Source organism: Homo sapiens, chromosome 4 (genome assembly GCF_000001405.40).
Source record: "Homo sapiens chromosome 4, GRCh38.p14 Primary Assembly".
Classification (NCBI taxonomy): Eukaryota; Metazoa; Chordata; class Mammalia; order Primates; family Hominidae; genus Homo; species Homo sapiens.
The window spans coordinates 20694953-20716414 of NC_000004.12; the positions used below are offsets into that span (position 1 = coordinate 20694953).

General features: G+C 37.2%; 1 protein-coding gene across 43 annotated transcripts in view, besides 1 other annotated feature; it reads left to right on the forward strand.

The window, feature by feature from the left end:
• Window positions 1–1329: 1329 nt before the first annotated feature.
• The window catches only part of PACRGL (parkin coregulated like), a 71092-nt gene continuing 50959 nt past the window's right edge, over window positions 1330–21462 (forward strand). For 4 of the 43 annotated variants that reach the window (XR_925306.3, XR_001741142.3, XM_011513786.4 and 1 more), the window contains exons 1-9: window positions 5506–5835; window positions 6806–6932; window positions 7189–7269; window positions 9514–9581; window positions 9708–9862; window positions 12851–12918; window positions 14731–14821; window positions 17836–17970; window positions 18480–18587. Coding sequence is in view for 28 of the 43 variants with exons in the window: in XM_011513786.4 (XP_011512088.1) it covers window positions 6886–6932; window positions 7189–7269; window positions 9514–9581; window positions 9708–9862; window positions 12851–12918; window positions 14731–14821; window positions 17836–17970; window positions 18480–18587 (753 nt within the window). In the remaining 15 variants the exon portion in view is untranslated. Of the gene's footprint in view, window positions 1562–5505; window positions 5836–6566; window positions 6716–6805; window positions 6933–7188; window positions 7270–9513; window positions 9582–9707; window positions 9863–12850; window positions 12919–14730; window positions 14822–17835; window positions 17971–18479; window positions 18588–21154; window positions 21297–21462 lie in introns of those variants that run through there. The other 39 variants (XR_007096364.1, XR_007096366.1, XM_047449623.1 and 36 more) reach the window with 23 other exon arrangements.
• Window positions 5619–5738: an enhancer, noted in NCBI's record as "active region_21365". NCBI's record gives its function as "activates an Ori minimal core promoter by ATAC-STARR-seq in GM12878 lymphoblastoid cells {active_cell/tissue: GM12878}" and the evidence as "EXISTENCE:reporter gene assay evidence [ECO:0000049][PMID:35858748]".

The following is a 21462-nucleotide window of genomic DNA, read 5'->3' on the forward strand; positions in this document are numbered from 1 at the left end:
AAACAGTATCTTATTCTGACTTAACACCTCAGAATTTTTAAAAAATCTACAGTTGGGGGATGAGGAAAATAAAGAGATCTGGGTTAAAGGTTACAAAGTTTCATTTAGGCTGGAGGGATAAGTCCTGGAGATATATTGTACAGCATAGTACTCTAGTTGACAATGCTGCATTGTACGCTTGAAATTTGGTAAAAGAGTAGATCTTAAATGTTCTCATTATACACACAAAATGGTAACTATGTGAGGTTACCAATAAATGGTATCTATGTGAGGTTACCATTTTGTGGATATATATAAATAATTAATTATATATTACATATAATAATATATATTATATAATTAATATATATTCACAAAATGGTAACCTCATATAGTTACCATTAATATATCCATATAGTGAATATATATGTGGATATATTAATTCACCTGATTGCAGTCATCACTTTACAATGTATGTATAGCAAAACCTCATGTTGTACACCTTGATTTTTTTTTTTTTTTTTTTTTTGAGATGGAGTATCTCTCTGTCACCAGGCTGGAGTGCAGCGGTGCGATGTCAGCTCACTGCAACCTCCACCTCCTGAGTTCAAGTGATTCTCATGCCTCAGCCTCCCAAGTAGCTGGGATTACAGGTACGCACCACCACACCCAGCTAATTTTTGTATTTTTAGTAGAGACGGGGTTTCACCATGTTGGCCAGGATGGTCTCGATCTCCTGTCCTTGTGATCCGCCCACTTCAGCCTCCCAAAGTGCTGAGATTACAGGCGTGAGCCACCGCACCTGGCCATACACCTTAAATATTTACAATTTTTATTTATCAATTGTACTTCAATAAAGTTGGCATCAATTCTATAAAATATTCTAAAATAGATTATAAACTAATGTCATAAAATATTTCGTAAAAACAACATTTCCTGCTACCCCATGACATTTTTTCCATGCAGACTGTAGCTGAACTATTTTATGCTTACTGCCTCAGGGAGGAGTTGTCATCATAAAAGTTCTCATGCTAAAAGTTGAATTCTTGACTTTGGACTTTCAAAAGTTAAGGTCAAGACCAGCCATTATTTGGAAGAGCTAGAAGAATATGTCATCAGTCAGAGTCAAGGTCTAGATCTGAGAGCAAAGAGACAGTATGCTCTGTCCTTCCCATCCTCCATCCTCCCCCCAGGGCAATACCCCAGAGCTAATAAGCCCCTAGATACCCCTGAACCTAGGGTATAGGATGAGAAGAAATGGCCTTGTAGTGTGTCTAGACAAAAGACTCTACGGCAACCTCATAGGTTCCCATGGTTTCTACAAGGTAGAAACCAACAGCTGAATTTCTTAGGCTTCAGATTGGAAGAATAGATTACCTCCTGGATAGTTAAGAGGAGATTGGAATTAGCTCTCAATGAGAACCTGGAATGAAAAACACATGAGCAATCTACAAGAATGAAGGATAAATGACTGAGGACCAGAAAGACCAAAGTACGTATATCCTAGCAGATGACAACAGAGGACCAGATGCCACACTCCTCCAAGCCTCATCCTCTCAACACAATTCCAAGGAGAGAAAGGGTAAAGACATTTGTAAAAGAAATTGAATACTACTATGAACCATAAAGGAAGTTGTTAATTGCACTGACTCTGTAGTCTGAGGTTCATACCCAATTCATGACCTTTACATTTGGATTGATTCTCCAACATCTAATAGTTTGTTGTACAAACAGTATGTACTCTCTAGCTATTTGACACATTTATTGACTTCATTCTATGTTTGCCCAACTGTCAGTGGCCATAGCTTTCTGTACTGTCCAATACAGTAGCCACTAGCCATCTGTGGTTATTGAATATTTGAAATGTGGCTAGTATGGATTTAAATGTGCTATACATGTAAAATACACACCAACTTTTGAAGACTTAGCACAAATAACAAGAATGTAAAATATCACATTAATAGTGTTTATATTTATTCCAAGTTGAAGTGATAATATTTTGGACATATTGGGTTAATAAAAATATACCACTAAAATTACTTTCACATGATTCTTTCCACCTTTAAAAAATATGCCTACTAGGCAATTTAAAATTGTATTATGTGACTTGCATCACTTTTCTATTGGACAATGCTACCTTATATGCTCACTCATGTTGATTTCATTTGCTTTCACCTGAGGAGCCATTATCACTGCTTAATTTGTTCCATGTGCAAGCGGACACTCAATGACTTTATAATGATGATGTCTAACATTTCCTGACAAAGTGTGCTTTGTCAAATTGTACAAATTTCTTGTATCACATTTCTCAATGATAGGACTTGGGAATAATCATTGGGAATGATTGCTTTGTCTGTAATTTGTACAAAAAGGCAGAGATTTTCTTTACAAGAATTAAGACAATATTTTCTTAAAAATGCTTGGTGACTTAAATGTAAGTAAATAAATAATGAATAATTTTTTCACAAGTCAATGAGAACCAGCACAATGAGAAAAAAAATCGTCCTGAGTGGTTTACTTTGGTTAGATTTATTACCTAACTCATAAGGTTATATAATATGGAGTAACAAAAATAGGGCAATTTGAAGAAATTTTATTTATAAAGGTACAGGGTACCACACAGACAGTGCAGTAACCTAGAGATAGTAGCCTCTGAGATTTTGTGCCTAGAACTGAAGTTTGCCATTTAGAAAGTTTTTTAGTCTATTTGGGCTGCTATAGTGAAATACCGTACATTGAGTAGCTTATAAACAACAGAAATTGATTTCTCATGGTTCTGGAGGCTGGAAAGTCCACATCGAAGTATCAACAGATTCAGTGTCTGGTAAGGGACTACTTTCTGGTTCACAGATGAAATTGTTTCACTGTGTCCTCACATAGTGGAAGGAGTGAGTGTTCTCTCTCAGGCCTCTATTATTAGGGCACTAATTCCATTCACGAGTGTTCCAACCCTATGACTTCATCGCCACCCAAAAGCCCCACCTCCAAATACCATCACCTTGGGAGTTAAAATTTCAATCTATGAATTTTGGAGGAACAGAAACAATCAGACTATAGCAGAAAGATGTGATCTTCACTTATGGGTATGACCAGCTTTAGGGAACCCCCTAAGGATAGGAGCAGGAGAATGAATACTCTGACTTCACTCTCCTCTAATTCTCTAATCTCCTATTAGTGTTCTTCAGTAGCCAAACCCAATCAGAAACCAGAGGGCACTGGAGCCTGGGTGATATAGTTTATGCTGATCAGCATCCCAGAGCAAATAACAGGACAAAGGGAAGAGTGTACCTATATGAGAGCAAACAGAAAATATATGGCATATTCTGTCTTTTCAGAATCATTTACTATATTGCTAGGCAAATAGGTCACCTTTTTTCCCTCATCCCATTCTCTCTTAAATAGAAAATTAAACCTTAAAACCTGAATAGAAGACAAAAGTCCACAATCAGTGCTCTGTTTCTCACATATTGTGAGCTTTCCTAGAAGGTATTACTCCTATCGCCCAACTCAGCGTCTACATATGCTGATGGCTCAAAAATCCATAGCTATGCCCAGTTCTCTTTCCTGCCCTCTAGATGAGCAGATCCAACAGCATGCTAGTTAGCTCCCCCTGGATGCCTCACAGGCTTGTCAAACCAGTGTATTCAAGAAAGCACCCACCACTTATTGCATAATATCCTGATAGAGTTGCAATGCCAAGGAGCATGTTTTCTGTTCATTTTCTAAAATGATGACAGAAAGTTTAGAAGAGGCTGTTTTAACTGTGATTAGGAGAAGCTTATACTAATTGTTATTATAAAGATCTGAAAAATCCGTGTCATCGTCCATGGTTCATACACCAACACATAGCATGAGACTTTTGCCACTTACGATGTCCTCCACGTTAGTCTTAATTTGCTTTCACCTGAATAATTGCACTAGCTAATACTTATTGAGTACTTCCTATGTGTCAGGTATTCAATTGTCCTCTTAAATTTAAGTCTCGCAATAACCCAATAATGAAGAGGAAATTGAGGCTTGTAGGAGTCGTCATCCACAAGGACTCATAGCTGATAAGGGGTGGTGAGTTTTAGATAGCTTAACTCCAGAACACATATGCTTGTCATTCCTCTGCGATACTGAATACAAATCATTCTTATAGTCCAGGGAGGAGGGGTTAAAAGGTCACGAACTAGGAGCTCTACTGAGTCTGACACTGGAGATGCTAGGAGTAAGGAAAATATAATAAGTCTTGAGGAAGCTGGAGATGAGAGATTATAAAGTAAAAGTAGCTGAAGATACAGGATATAAGATTTTTTTTTTTAAAAATTTCTTTTTCCTTTTAAAAACGTTAGTTAAGCATGCATTGCGCTAGGCATTGGGGATAGAAAAGCAATAAAGACAATTTCAGTCTAGTGAGAAAGATAGGTAAATACATTATAATAAATTTTAAAACTTAGATTTGTATGCAAGGTTCACAGAACATTAGAGAAATTAGACATAGACAGAATTTATTAATTCATTTTATTCATTCAGAAGACATTAGTTGAATACCCACTGCATTATGCTTGAAGCTGGAGAAATAAAAAGGGCAAAGTTAAAATCCTTATCCTGAGGAAACTCACAATCTAATGAAGATGCTTCTGGGGTGCTGGTCAAGTAGCAAGGATGGAGCTACAGGAGCACAGAAGGATTACACAGCCTCGAGTGCTCAGACAATGCCAATTTAGTGTTACCTAAGCAAAAAGTTAGGGCTTTGGGTTGGCAACAGTAGAGGATGCTAAAGAGGAGTGCAGTGGACAGGTCCAAAGGGCTTGGACTTAACTATGACAACCCAAATTGTTGCTGGTGGAATGCAATACAAGGGAATATGCATTTTCCTGCAGCATCAGTTTTGTTATGATGTGGAGCATAAAATCGTGCTTTTCACTATTAAATATTTTTACTATTAAAAATAATGTAGAGCACAAAATCGTGCTTTTTACTATTTAAATGCGGATATACTGTGAAGAATGCAATAGCATATGAGATTCATAAAATACGACAGGAAACGAATTTCCACAGCTAGGCTTATGATTTAGCCAGATAGAACAGGAAACTACAAGAAAATCCCACAGCTGGGCATGCAGATGGCTTCGGCTCTCACCCCTGAAGACTCGGGGGGAGGAGTTCACAGTCTTCAGTTCTCCGAGTATTGAGGGTAAGATAGCTGAGGAACAATGAGTATTAAGTGTGCGAGAAAAGCGTTTAGGAGTTAAGCACATGGACTGAAGAGAGGCTAGGGCGCAGGCGACTGGGAACCCGTCATCGTCCCTCTGCTCTCCGGACCTCTTATTCGAAAAACATCCTCCACCACGTGCCCCTTTGTCGCCAGAGACAGCGCCTGCAGTGCGTGAGCTGCCCCCTGAACTCCTGGCGCCTGGTTGCCTGGGCAACCCTCTTCTGGGGCGCCTCCGCGACCTCTTACCATTGGTTTAGACGACGCAGCGTGCGTCTGACGTCATTGCGCGGCGCGACCAGGTTCAGGGGCGGGCCGCGCGGAGCCTCATTTCCCCAAACGCAGGCGCTCGGTGGCGGTAGCCGCGGTTGTTGGCCGACCGAGTGCCGGTCATAAGCCCCCCCCGGTGGGGGGCAGCTGGTGTGCGGATCGCGGCGGGAGAGAGGCGCGGTAGGAACGGGTCCCCGGAGCCGTGAACCGCGGGTACAGGTGTCCTGTCTGCGCTCTCTGCCAAGCCGGCTTGCTTCCTGATCTGTTGCTAGGGCCGCTGGACCCCGTTGCTAAGGACCCTTGAGATCGTGAGCGCTTGGAGTGTACCCCTCCTTTCCTGGGGTAGAGGGTCAGTCGAGAGTAGCCTTCGTTAACCTTAATTGAAACTGGTAAACTCCTCCCTCGGCCCCTTTAAAAAATCTCTGTTTTTTCTTTATTTTTTTTCTGTGTCTTCCTCTTTTGCTGACTTTGATAGCATCCTGGCTCTGGACTGGTCTTTAAGTATCTAGAAGTGAGTGTAGGAGGGGTGGCTGGGAAGGTGGAAAATAGATTCTAAGACCCCTAAGCAGATTGTGCGACCCTAATACTGGCCCTTTGAATTTACTTTCTGGTAAAAAAGGGACTGGGATAAGTGACTATTGGGCTCTGGGTCTTTTAGAATTTGACAGAGCTTTACAAATGGAACATGGTTTCTTTAGTGGGGCTCTTACTTACACGTTTGGAACTTTCTAGACCTGGATTAGAAAGCAGGGCTCTGCTGACTGAGAATTGTTTTAGTTCAGTGGTCTTAAAGCTGAGTACGGGAGAAAGTACATACAGGGAAAGAAATAGGCTATATCAGCTGCCCAAACAATGATAGAAAGTACACTTTCCTACCATTGACACAGATACCGGCAGTCCCTTGTAGATAGATGACCTGTAGCAACCAAGGAAGCTTTAAGGGGAATGTGTGGGCTTCATAGGGTGGTTTGTTTGCTTTCTGATATTGTGACATAGTTTAGGTGTTCGAAGTTAAGTGGATTTATGGATTCTAATATCTATAATTAGAATGTTTATCTTGTTTTGTAAAAGAATGAGCGGTGACCTTGATAATATTTGTAACACAAAATAGTTCTTACAGGTTCGCTTCTCCCCATCACTGCCCCTTTACACCATCCTCTACATGTTATTTAATGAAAAACCACTTGAAAGGGTTACCAAGGATAAGATTTTTAAAGCTTGCTTTCACAAACAACTCATGCTCCAGGCTTGTCAGTGGCATGCTTCCAGGTGGATATTATTTTAAAAAATTGACTACATTTCCCGTCGTCCCTTGGTGTCCGTGGAGAATTGGCTCCAGGACTCCCTCCCTCCCCCCAGTCTCTTTCAGATACCCAAATCCACCCATGCCAAAGTCCTCCAGTCTGCTCTCCGTATCCGTGGTTGGGTCAAATCTATAGATGTGGAACCCGCATATACGGAGAGCCAACTGTAATTTGTCGTTAAGGTAAAGGATAAAAATTTTAAGTGAAAAAGCAATTGTTTTGGAAGGAAATTCTCTAATACAGGATTTTGAAAGGGGATGTAGACGTGTTTGCATTACTGTATGTTTAATGCTGAAAATTATATATTGTACATAAAAGTTGTCCTGTATACTCATAAACTGTAGAAGCTCGATTTTCTACCATGTTTAAAACTTTTTCAAATGAGTTTTGGTGACTTTTTGAACTCATTCAAAATATAATGCAACACCTCCCCATTAGTTTGTTACAGGAACAACTTTTTGACGTGAAGGAAGATAGAAATTTAGCCATAAAATTCCATCCAAAACTTCCACTGAATTGGTAGGTAGTATTGAAAAATGTGCATCATAATTTGATATGGCTGCCTGTGCCCTTGTTATGTTTGTGGGTACGCGTCTTTGCTGTGCATCGCTTTTATCTGTTGCAGCTGTTAACAATTGATGATCAAGAGAAATTGGACCTCAGCTGGTCTTCAAATTGATGTAGCCCAAGATGTTAAGCCAGATTTTTTAAAAATGACAAAACATGTGGTTTCACTATTAGTAATAGTAATACTGAAGAACACTTTGTACCATTGTAAAGAAAATTATAATAATAGCTAAGACTCATGTGGCCCTTACTGCATGCCTCCCATTATGGAAATGTTGTTTTACATATATTCTTACTAGTCTTCATCAACACTTAAAGTAGTTCCTGTAATTATGCCCAATTATAGAGTTGAGGAAACTGATGCATTTTTTTTTTCAATAGAAACTTGTGTTGTTCCCCCTCCAGGAGCTTCTCAAAACAGAAGTCAGGCACAATATTAAATACTTGTTGAATGATCACAGAAGTACAATAGTAGGTTAACATATTTAAAGCTTCTCTCAGCTTATTTTAGACTATTATCTGACAACTTTAATGAGATTTTAATTACCGTAGTATTAGAAAATGGCCCTGGGAATGGAGGTGAAGTGTGATACTGGGAAGTAAGTCATCTGCTGGTAGTGGGATGAGATAAATGAGATCAATGTACTAAATCAAGGAAATTGAAATTATTCAGTGTGCAGAAGCAAGCTTACATTTAGGTTATCTTTACATGGTATCAGACTTTAAGCTGGTACATCATGTTTGAGATATCTGGCTAAATTTTATAACATGGAGCTTTGTCCTCCTTTTGAGGATTTCTAACTTGTTAAGTGGATTAAAAGCATTTCATGTGAGGAATCATTTTAAAAAGTATCAGTGTTTATCCTGAAGAAGAAAAAATGAAGGAGTTAAGAGTTAATGCCATCAAATATTTGAAAAAGTGTCATTTGGAGGTGGAAGAGGACTTTACCTGTGTTGTCCTAAGGGAAGATCTTACACTATACTTGAGAGGCAGTCATTATTAAAGGCATTAAAATGAGACGTGTGCTAATAGAATAACTAGATTGTCGTGGAAGTGAGGGAACAGAGTAATCAAGTAGAAATAAGGACACAGGATAGAAATCAATGCCATAGAAATACACATTTGAGAAACCAAGATGAGGAAAGGCTTCATGGAAGTTGGGAATGAAGCTTGGCCTAAAAATACCAGTAGGCACTTGGGTATATGAGTGTGTGTGTGTGTGTGTGTGTGTGTGTGTGTGTTTGTGTGTGTGTATTTCTTGCTAGAGATACAATTGTAGAAATTGATTGGATTAGCTGGAAACCTTGGGGTATGAACTAGAGTCCTCCATTAGCAGAAAAAAAGCAACTGTGTAAGGGAAAAGTGAACCAGTATTCCCTGGGTGAGTAACTTGAGAGATAATTTCATTTGCACCTCCAGAAAACCTTGACAGGCTTTTATTTCCCTCTTTAAACAGGTCAGGAAGTCGAGGTTTAGGGAGGTTAAATAATCTGCCTAAATTCATAAATTTCATAATTGGTAGAACTGAGATGCAGACCCATATTTGAGCCCAAAGCTCTTTCTTTCTCATCACGTGTAGCATTGAGTGTAGGAAATGAAGGAAAAGGAGACAATGGTGATTCTAAGTTTTTCAGTCTGAGGACCAGAAAACTGGTGGTACCCTGGGTTAACAAGGGGTTCATAATAACTTCAGTGTGACAACCTCAGTTTTAGTTACATTCAGTTTAAGGAGCTTGTGATACATTGGGTAGGAGAGTTCATTATGTCACTGGAAAAGTAGAGCTTGATGTGCACATGTTAACATTTGGAGCTTTGGAAATACAGAGGCCAGAGAAGATGGAGAAGATGACAGGGAATGTACCAACCACTCCTTTCAGAAATCTAGTCTGTGTTTTCTAATGTGGTCAGAGAATTGGAAGTGAGTTTCTAACAGTTTATTTTGACAATTTGAATGGAAAAAAAGTTGACTTTTGTACATCATTTCTTGGAGATGATTATTTTGCTGTTATTGATACTATTGAAGTTGACATAATTTCATGTTTTCTCATTAGTCTTTTCCAGTATTTTGCTCCATATCAACTTTTTTGTGTGTCTTTTACTGTATTGTATACTCTGTTCTGGTTTTGTCTTTTTATTGATAACAAATGCCCCTCCAAACAAATTTTGAAATCAACTTTTTTTTTTTTAAACTGCAGGAGTGAAAGGGAAGCAATGCAGAAATCAGAGGGCTCTGGAGGTACACAGTTGAAAAACAGAGCAACAGGTACAGAGCTTTTGTTTTTAAGTGAAGAGGTCAAGTTTGTTCATGGCACTTTCTGTGCTACAGATGGATGCAGGGTGAACTTTATTGCTTGTACCTGGTTTCTATTGATGTTCTGTTTTTTTCCAGGTAACTATGATCAAAGGACATCATCAAGCACACAGTTAAAACACAGGAATGCAGTTCAGGGAAGCAAATCCTCATTGTCAACCAGTTCTCCAGAGTCTGCAAGAAAACTTCATCCTAGACCAAGTGATAAACTGAACCCTAAAACAATTAATCCGGTAGGTCCAAAACTATTCCTAACTCAGTAGATTTTTTAAAGGCATTTCGCACAGTATTGAACAATGCTGGATGCTGTGTTGAGTTTTGTCCCTTTGCTAGTTTTGAGCTAATAATGAGAGAAGGGCATGTGGTTATTATGATGAAGAACTGAGATAATCAGTCACATGTGGGAGTGAGTATGGAGGTAAGGAGACATAGAAGTTAACCTGTTTGGGATATCGCATTGTAGTGCATAGAAAATTGCACTTTAGCTTTAGATTTTATTTGCAGTGTTGTTTTACTTCCCCATATCAATGAATAAACTGTATTCAGTTGCCACAGAATGCTTTTCGTGCTTCTATAGTTGCATAAAGGTCTCTGACCTTTCCTGTGTTCTGTAAATTAGTTCCACCAGAAATCCTAGTTGTAGTACTAACCTCCTTTGCCCTCTCCTAACAATTTAATGAGATTTAATAAACATGGGATTTATGCAGTAAAAATATTCAGAAGTGAACACACCTGTGCAACAACACCAGGTGTTATTTGCCCCATGCCCAACTTTGGTAGGGTGAGATGTTAGTGATTTCAGCCTTCGAAGGGGATTGTGAGGGTGGCTGAAGCTCCTGACTGACTGTGGTGGTAGGTAGGGGTATGGCAGTTACTTAAGGAAGCAAAGGTATAGTGAGCTCTCCAAGACAGAAGGAGTGTCCGACTGGATAAAAGCAAAGTGACAAATAGTTTGAGCGGCTATGTTCCTTTGCTTTTTTCTGTAATCTACAGTGTCAAGGAAATTGAATACCTGAAGAAGGCCCTAATAATCTTGTTGCTCTCACTTCCTTTGCTTATGTTTAGTTGAGGGAGTTTACGGTGACGCTTCAATTTTCTTCCTCTCTTTAAAGAAGTACTTTTTGAATTAATAATATTTAGTGACCTTAGTCCTAAGTTTTAGTAAAAATCGAGGAAAGTTTTGGGAAATAGTTAAATAATTTGACCCGAGAAAAGCATGTGTAAAAGCTACCAATATAAAACAAATGAGTTGGAAGTCAGAATAATGTTCACCTTTGGGGCGAAAGGTGGGCAGGGATTTGGGAGAGGCAGTGGAGGCATCTAGTGTGCTGGAAACTTTCAGATTTTTCAACTCTGTTGATAAACAGGTGTGTTCATTTTTTGTGAATTCACTATTGTGATTTATGCACATTAATATTTTAAATATTTGAGTTAAAAAATTTTTTGAAACGCTAATTCAGTGTAGTATAGTATATAACATTAATACAGAGTTGAAATATGGTCTGAAATTGTTAAAAATTGAATGGGATAACATTTTTCACTTTAGACTTGGTAAAATTTGGTTAAAATCGATAAAAGTAATCTATTCATAAAAAATTCTGATTTTGTGGAACATGGAAGATGAAACCATGATTATCTCTAGAATAAAATTGAAAGGCAAAGAAAGGAATTGTTTAGCATTTCAATCAGAAATTTAGTCTTTGTGGGTATATTGAAATTTTAGGGATTATTTTCATGACCTGTAAGGGCCAAAAAGAAAGATCATTTGCTTGTAGATGGTAGAAGTCAAATATGTTGATAGTATAGTACTAATTTGTCTTAATTTTTTCTCCAATATGTGTAGCACTTTTTCAAACAACTTTCTTATCGGATATGCTTGTTACTTGAAAATAATTTTTAAAACTTGTGTTTCTTTTATAGCAGAAATTATAACTAGATGAGTGAAACATTCCTCTTGTGAATTGTTACACATAACATGGATTGAATTTTGGAAATGAATCTTTTTTTTTTTTTGAGACGGAATCTCGCTCCGTCGCCAGGCTGGAGTGCAGTGGCACAATCTTGGTTCACTGCAAACTCCGCCTCCTGCATTCAAGCCATTCTCCTGCCTCAGCCTCCCGAGTAGCTGGGACTACAGGCACCCGCCACCATCCTGGCTAGTTTTTTGTATTTTTAGTAGAGATGGGGTTTCACCGTGTTAGCCAGGATGGTCTCGATCTCCTGACCTTGTGATCCACCCGCCTCAGCCTCCCAAAGTGCTGGGATTACAGGCTTGAGCCACTGCGCCTGGCCAGATATGAATCTTTTATTGTAATTTAATTTGAACGAATTTTCTCCTATGTGCTTTTACTCAAAACTCATGCTTTTCCAGAGGAAAAAAGAGCTGATTCTAAACTTTTTAAGCACATTTTAAAACTACCACTGTGTGTGACTTAAAAAAAATTATCTAGTTATATCTTTAAAACAGGTCAATTTATATTTTGTAATTTAGACAACTATTTTTCATTTGATTATATATTAAAAGTACCATGTGATAAAATATTTACTTTTTGTTCCTAAATCCTCTGTAAGTCTCTTATCAATTATATTGAAATTATTTATGCTGTAATTGTTTAACTGTTGTGATTGACCATCCCTTAAATCATCTTTAAGAGTAGGTATAAAATCAAGCTATTCATATATAGCAAAACTGAAAGGTTATGAAGTTATATATCTAAGAAAATACATCCAGGCATATATTTGTGAGAATCTTCCCCATCTTCAATTCTCTCCCTCCTGCCCAGCGCAATCCTTTGTTTTTTATAGAAGCCTAAAGCCAGTTTGGAGAAATGTGACTACCTACGCCATCTGTATTTGGCTGAAGCACAAAGTAGGAGATGTGCAGGTGGCAAAAAACAAATATACTTTTTCTGTACTTAACACCCCTTCTCCATAGAGTCCTCACCTTGAAAGGTCACAGTGGGGAAGAAGGTAGAAAGAACTATCATTCCATATGTGGTTTCAGCCGCGTTCAAGCATCCTGAATCGTTAGGGGAAAAAGAGATGTACCAAGTGTGGTCGTGGTATTCTAGTAGAGAGAGGATTGACAGTTTTTCTCAACTGTGTTGCTGAGTAGAAACGGTGCGCTTCGATACCAGCTTGGCGGTTTGAAAAGCAAAATGGCTGTGTGCTTCTGACCTCAGAAGTATAGGTGATAGTAATATTTTCATTTTTTATTTTAGTTTGGTGAACAGTCACGAGTGCCTTCTGCATTTGCAGCTATTTACTCTAAAGGAGGTATTCCTTGCAGGTAAAATCAATATGATTTATAACTGACCAAATTATTCAAAATCATTGAGTAAAATGAATACAATATTTAGTTTAAATGTATTGTAAGTTTTATTTACTAGTGAGGTTGAAATAAAGATGACTTTATTCACACTTTCTTTTGGACTGGTATAGATTCCTGGATGTTGTTGAAGAAAACCATTCTAGTTCCAAAATACAGTTATTGGGATCTATGGATAAACCATCAGTTTAAGAACTTTACTTGAACCCTTTTTCTAAAATAATCAATTTAAGCATTTGCAGGCTTGGGCAAGTTGCAAATTAAAAAATCCTATCTTGTTGGTAAAATGAAAGTTGTCAATTTAATGAAATTGTTTATATTTCATAATAAATACATATGGCTGTTTTTGCTTCATTTTGGATATAATTCTTGCCACCTTTCTAGACAGATGTCAGAACTTTAAAAAAAAAATACTACAGATAATGTATCATTTTACAATTTATTTCTATAAAGCATTTATTTCTTCAGAGTTCATCCAGTTTTAGCCTGTTGTAGATGATAGAAAATTTTATTTTGATTATGGAAATAATCACAACATTTATTTATTTTTGTTCCAAAATTCAAGAAATCTAGTTTTTAATGGTATTTTCGGATTTGGAGTGAAAAATAAGCTCAAGAAATACTCTTCAGTTTATTGTTATTTCATATTTACATTCTGAATTGAAACCCTATTTAAAGTTTCTTAATTCTCTACTCCCCACCCCTCCAAAACTTATTGTTGCAAAAATGTAAAAACAATATTAGAGAGACGTCTTACTCTTATGAAAATAAGCCCAAAGGAGTCAAGAAGTCAAGAACATTACAAAGGAGTTCAAAGAAGCATTTAGGTTGATGGATTAAGTTCACTGTCATGATTGTGATGATAGTTCCTTGAGTGTATTCGTACATAAAAACATACCAAATTGTATACTGTAAATACATGCAGTTTATTGCGTGTTAGTTATTCCTCAGTAAAGGCTGTAATCCCAGCACTTTGGGAGGCCAAGGCGGGTGGATCACCTGAGGTCAGGAGTTCGAGACCAGCCTGACCAACATGGAGGAACCCCATCTCTACTTAAAAAAAAAAAAAAAAATACAAAATTAGCCGGGTGTGGTGGTGCATGCCTGTAATCCCAGCTACTGGGGAGGCTTAGGCAGGAGAATTGCTTGAACCTGGGAGGCGGAGGTTGCGGTGAGCCAAGATCGCGCCATTACACTTGAGCCTGGGCAACAAGAGTGAAACTTCGTCTCAAAAAAAAGCAGTTAAAAGAAGCAGAAATCCTAATTCAGGGGCCACCACTTTGTAACCCTAAATGGGCCATTTTACCTTCCTGGCCTCAGTTTTCTTCTCTTTAACAGAGATGAAACTTGGTTTAGCCTTCAGGTTATTAGTGTTAGGGTTACATGATCTATATCTGAAAAACAATGTTCCTTGTGAAACATTTTTAATAATTACTATGTTTTGTTTGCATTTTTTCATTTCTGTAGATTACCTATTGTGTCATATCACTGAAAGATATCACCTGGCATATCTGTGTTAAGATTCACAGACAGCAACATGCTTAAGCACCAAAACTGTAACCTTAACACATGTGGGTCACTTTTGCTGTAAGACTAGGAATGTGTAGGATTATTGACATTACTTTGTAAAATGTCCTTGTACTATCTTATAAAGTTATGGTATTCCTACATGTTACAAAATAAATCTGATATGGTTATACTGTATGTTAGATTATCCCTGCTTAATATAGAATTATATTTTTCTTGTTGCATTCACTAACTTTTATATTTTAGATTGGTACATGGTTCAGTAAAACACAGATTACAGTGGGAATGTCCTCCTGAAAGTCTTTCATTTGATCCACTTCTTATTACTTTAGCTGAGGTAAATATGCCATCTCTTGAATATTTATCAGAAAATAAACATTAAAAATTGCATTAAATGCTACTTTGTAGCTTGTCAGTAAATTTCATTCTATGCCTTTGAAAAACGAAGCACACAATAGGCATTGAAACACCACACACCCTTAGGAATGAATTATGATTCTTATATAGTTATTTGAAATTGATTAATGAGCTTTATAAACATGGAATTAGTCTGCATAGGGATTTGTAGATAACTAGATGAAATATTTGTACTTACTTCAAAAAAAATATGTGGACTCATAATGAGGAGAGATTTTTTGGTACTAGTGAAATAAGGAAAACATCAGGGATTAAACTGAAAACTGTCAGATAGTGGTAAGTGGTTCTATGTACAACCAATCGTGTTGACATGATGTGTTTCTTAGGGAATTGATACTACCTACCTAAATGTTCTTTTGGAGAATACTCCAGCTCTTTGCTTGTACATTTCCAGTACAATATCATGGAGGTGGTTTTATAGACTATTTTAAAAAAAACTTTTGATAGCTTCCTTTATATAATTTAACATTTGTGTCAGGAAAAATGTTGGTGGAGTCTTAGCTTCAAGTGAATCATTGCTATCTTCTATGAATTTTATTCTTAGAGTTAGAAGTAGAGAAATGAATTAACCAGTTGTCTTGTATTTAAACTTTTAATTACTTTTTAAAAGTTAAGGATCGTTTTGTTGTCATTAGTAAGAAACAAATGATTAGAGTTTGGGTGATATTAGTAATAAAGCACCTGAGTTCTTTCACTGATAGTTTTATTTAGATTAGTTACTACTGTGTAACTTACTCTATAAACATGGCAGTGCCTTTTTAGGTTAATATCATTTGCTTTTCCTATAAAACCAGTGGGGAGGACCAAGTGGGAGCAGAACTGAAAAATGTAATTTTGCCAATTGAGATTCCTTAATTAAAATGAAACATCAAAATCTCTGGTTCCTCATTTAATTCTCCAAATATGTTTACTCTCTTAAGAGTAAACTAACCAGTTACTAGCAAAAACTATAAGTTTTTGTTTTTCTTAATTTATTGCCGAGTATTACAAGCAGTGTATTTTTATAGGTAGCCTATTTTGAAATTCAGTTTTGAGGTTGGCATTAAAGGTTAGGCTGGGTGCTGTGGCTCATGCTTGTAATCCCAGCACTTTAGGAGGCCAAGGTAGGAGGATCACTTGAGCCCAGGAGTTTGAGACCAGCCTGACCTACATAGGGAGACCCTGTCTCTACAAAAAAGAAAAAAAAGAAGATCACATTAGCCAGGCACAGTAGAGTGAGATGCTATCTCAAACACACACACACACAAAATTAGTTATGTTTCCTTATTTTTTAAACCTTAAGCCTTTTAAACCAGGTAGCAAACCATGTTTTTTTTTTTAGACTAGTCAAAACTGGTGATAGCTTTGAAAGTGTAGTGAAGCTAATCATATTGTACAGGGAGTGCTTTAATTTGGGATATCCTTAAAGGGACTCTAACTTCTGCTTAAAGTCAGCCTTTTATATACCTGTTGTCCAAATGTCAATGCTTTTCTTTCTGTATTGAGTAGATTTTTATCTTTCTCCTGGCCTCATTTACTAACAGATAAGTAGTGACAGAAGAACCACTGCTGAAATCCACTTCAGCTTTTAATCTGAGAGTTTTTATCTTGAAAATGAACAGGATACAGGACACTGCTATTTGATCCAAAATGACGCCCATGTGCTTGGCAGGATGGTTTTCAAAAGCATGACAGCTTCAAGGAAAGGAAATGTTTGATTACTATTTGGAAGCAGATATTTAGGTCTGAAGGACAAATTATTTGAAAATTGGTTTTTCTAAGCATGATTTTGCAGCTGATTATATTTCTTCATAGATAATTAGTCAAACTAAAGGAGTTTACTGTTGATTTTGTTTTGCTTTATCATTTCGAAAAAAGTCAGATGGCCCTTTTGACTCACTATGATTGGTTAAATCATAAAAGAGTACTAGCTAATTGTTTCTAATGCATTTAGGGTGAAAGGCATAGTGAGATATGATCTACAGTTTTTTAAAATATTTTCATACTGCATTTCAGTATTACAAATGACATTTAAAATCTTAACATGCCTTTAAAATGCATATAGTATGATACTTGCTTTCTAAATACGTTAATATAAAATACTTAAATATGAAGGAAATTTATTTTAGGAACTTATTAAGTCATAAAATCACTAAATGTAGGGGATCTTATAGCCATGCATTCATAAAGGAGTGGTTATAAACATAGACTAATTTGCTCTGCTTTCAGAAAGTGAGTGTACATAACAAAATCTTTTTATTATCCTAGCGAGTTTCCCTTCTTTTTGTCTATAGTTTCATTTACCTTTCCTTTTCCTCCTTCCATTTCCTGCTTTTTCCTTCCTTCCTATTTTATTTTCTCTTTCTTCTTATATTTTTTCTTGCCTCCCCTGTTTTCCATTTCTTTTCTTTTCCTTTTTCTTATTTTTTTTTTCTTCTCCCTTCCTTCCCTTCTGTGAGTAGAGATTACTCCTGTCTCATGTACAGTTGGCCCTTCCCATCCATGGGTTCCACATCTAGGGTTTTAACTAGCTGCAGATCGAAACTATTAAAAAAAAATACAATGCAAAAATAAAAAATACAAATAATACAATATAAAAATTATTGATGAAGCATTTCCATTGTAATAGGCATTATAAGTAATCTAGAGATTATTTAAAGTATATGGGAGTATGTGCACATACTATGCTCTTTTATATGAAGAACTTTAGTATCCACGGGTTTTGGTATCCATTGGAGGGGGGGCCCTGGAACCAGTTTCCCTTGGGATACCAAGGGACCCTTTGTCCCACAGTTTCTCAATGTAATTGAAATTGTAACTACTGAAATTATAATCATGATTAGGAAAACAATAATGAAATTTTTGATTTTTGTTTAAGCAAGTAAAGACTCAATTTTTCTGTTATTAGCATAATGAAATGGGTAGTAAATCATGTTTCCTCTTGGTCTTTGTCAGGGTCTGAGAGAGACTAAGCATCCATACACTTTTGTGTCAAAGGAGGGTTTTAGAGAATTACTTTTGGTCAAAGGTGCTCCTGAAAAAGCTATTCCTTTGCTACCTAGACTGATTCCTGTGCTAAAGGCAGCTCTGGTATGTCATTTATTTCATTGTACTTTATATTTGAAAACATGATAGAAAAGAAAGCTGTAATATATTTAGAATATTGTATGCCTTTTTCCCTCCATATTATATGCAAAGTAGTCCTTTATCTGTGATTCTGACACATTTACAGAATTAGGCAACTGTTACTCAGGGCCAGATAACTACATACTTGAAGACATCTTTAGAGGATGTACTAAAGGTAAAAAGGGACATTTTAAGTAATTAGAGGAAGTAATGAACCTCAAATCAGCCTTTCTGTATGCTACATATATTTTAGTTAATGCTTCAGTCAGATGGAAAATTTGTTTTTTGCTTCTAGATGTCCTGTGTTGAAGGTTATTTTTAAAATTCTAGGTTTTGTTGACTATCTTCTGATTGTAGATGTTTAATCTTATCCTTTTCTCTACTTGCTTGCCCTTTTTTCTAACCTATCTTTTCTTTCCTTTTCTCCTCTCTTCCCTGATGTCCATACATCCCCCAACTAACCAACCTTACAGGTCCATTCGGATGATGAAGTGTTTGAAAGAGGATTGAATGCTCTAGTTCAGCTAAGTGTCGTTGTTGGTCCTTCTCTAAACGACCATCTGAAGCATCTGCTTACAAGCGTAAGTACTGCAAAGATTAGATAATGATTGACTGTATGTATCATGCACCATCCATATCTCTTCATGATTTAACAATTTCAAATCTTCAACTCAAAACCTTAAAAATCTCCCTCTACACACTGCTTTGAATGTGTCCCAGAGATTCTGGTATGTTGTGTCTTTGTTCTCGTTGGTTTCAAAGAACATCTTTATTTCTGCCTTCATTTCATTATGTACCCAGTAGTCATTCAGGAACAGGTTGTTCAGTTTCCATGTAGCTGAGCGGTTTTGAGTGAGTTTCTTAATCCTGAGTTCTAGTTTGATTGCACTGTGGTCTGAGAGACAAGTTTGTTATGATTTCTGTTCTTTTACATTTGCTGAGGAGAGCTTTACTTCCAACTATGTGGTCAATTTTGGGATAGGTGTGGTGTGGTGCTGAAAAAAATGTATATTCTGTTGATTTGGGGTGGAGAGTTCTGTAGATGTCTATTAGGTCTGCTTGGTGCAGAGGTGAGTTCAATTCCTGGGTATCCTTGTTAACTTTCTGTCTCGTTGATCTGTCTAATGTTGACAGTGGGGTGTTAAAGTCTCCCATTATTATTGTGTGGGAGTCGAAATCTCTTTGTAGGTCACTCAGGACTTGCTTTATGAATCTGGGTGCTCCTGTATTGGGTGCATATATATTTAGGATAGTTAGCTCTTCTTGTTGAATTGATCCCTCTACCATTATGTAATGGCCTTCTTTGTCTCTTTTGATCTTTGTTGGTTTAAAGTCTGTTTTATCCAAGACTAGAACTGCAACCCCTGCCTTTTTTTGTTTTCCATTTGCTTGGTAGATCTTCCTCCATCCTTTTATTTTGAGCCTATGTGTGTCTCTTCATGTGAGATGGATTTCCTGAATACAGCACACTGATGGGTCTTGACTCTTTATCCAATATGCCAGTCTGTGTCTTTTAATTGGAGCATTTTAGTCCATTTACATTTAAAGTTAATATTATGATGTGTGAATTTGATCCCGTCATTATGATATTAGCTGGTTATTTTGCTCGTTAGTTGATGCAGTTTCTTCCTAGCCTCAGTGGTCTTTACAATTTGGCATGATTTTGCAGTGGCTGGTACAGGTTGTTCCTTTCCATGTTTAGTGCTTCCTTCAGGAGCTCTTTTAGGGCAGGCCTGGTGGAAATGCAAATCAAAACCACAATGAGATACCATCTCAGACCAATTAGAATGGCAGTCATTAAAAAGTCAGGAAACAACAGGTGTTGGAGAGGATGTGGAGAAATAGGAACACTTTTACACTGTTGGTGGAACTGTAAAGTAGTTCAACCATTGTGGAAGTCAGTGTGGCGATTCCTCAGGGATCTAGAACTAGAAATACCATTTGACCCAGCCATCCCATTACTGGGTATATACCCAAAGGACTATAAATCATGCTGCTATAAAGACACATGCACACGTATGTTTATCGTGGCACTACTCAAAATAGCAAAGACTTGGAACCAACCCAAATGTCCAACAATGGTAGACTGGATTAAGAAAATGTGGTACATACACACCATGGAATACTATGTAGCCATAAAAAATGATGAGTTCATTCCTTTGTAGGGACATGGATGAAACTGGAAATCATCATTCTCAGTAAACTGTCACAAGGACAAAAAACCAAACACCGCATGTTCTCACTCATAGGTGGGAATTGAACAATGAGAACACATGGACACAGGAAGGGTAACATCACTCTCTGGGGACTGTTGTGGGGTGGGAGTAGTGGGGAGGGATAGCATTAGGAGATATACCTAATGCTAAATGACGAGTTAATGGGTGCAGCACACCAGCATGGCACATGTATACATATGTAACTAACCTGCACATTGTGCACATGTACCCTAAAACTTAAAGTATAATAATAATAAAATAAAATAAAAAAAACCTTAAAAATCTCATCATCCTTAGCAAAAAATATACAGATCGTTCATAAAACATTTTACTAATGGACAGTATTACTATTTTTTTTAAATGGAAAGCACCTACATGAGCAGAGTTCAGGGTTATAATAAAAAGTAAACCACCCGGGCGTAGTGGCTCACACCTGTAATCCTAACACTTTGGAGGCTGAGGTGGGTGGATTGCCTGAGCTCAGGAGTTTGAGACCAGCCTGGGCAACATGGTGAAACCCCATCTCTACTAAAATACAAAATACTAGCCAAGTGTGGTGGCATACACCTGTAGTCCCAGCTTCAGGAGGCTGAGACAGGAGAATTGCTTGAACCTTGGAGGTGGAGGTTGTAGTGGGACAAGATTGTGACAGTGCATGCCAGCCTGGGTAACAGAGCGAGTCTGCACTTCAAAAAAAAACCAAAAGTCGAATGGATAAAAGCTAATGAATGGTAAGATGGTATTATGCTCATGTTGATTAACTATGAATGTAAGCAGTGCCCATACACTGTCTTGTGTAATTATATGTTACCAAACATGTTTAAGTATTTTTGTTTTTCATTGCGATGTTTTAGTGAATCTGTAAATTGCATTCAGGAAGAGACCTTTTCCTGATATGTATAACTTTAATCTTTAATATAAATATTTACTAGGACCCTGTGCAGCTCATGAGGTTCCCAAGACCACTCTTAGGTTTGATGATTTGCCAGAAGGATCCATGGAACTCAGGAAAGCTGTTACTGGCTGTTATGGTTTCTTACAACACACAAAAAATAAAGATTAAAATCAGCAAAGGTAAGAGGCACATAGGGCAGGGTCCATGAGAGACCAGTCATGGAGTTTTCAGTTTTCTTCTCCTAGTGAAGTTATTCATGCAGTGTTTTTTTTTTGTTTGTTTGTTTGTTTTAATTATACTTTAAGTTCTAGGGTACATGTGCACAACGTGCAGGTTTGTTACGTA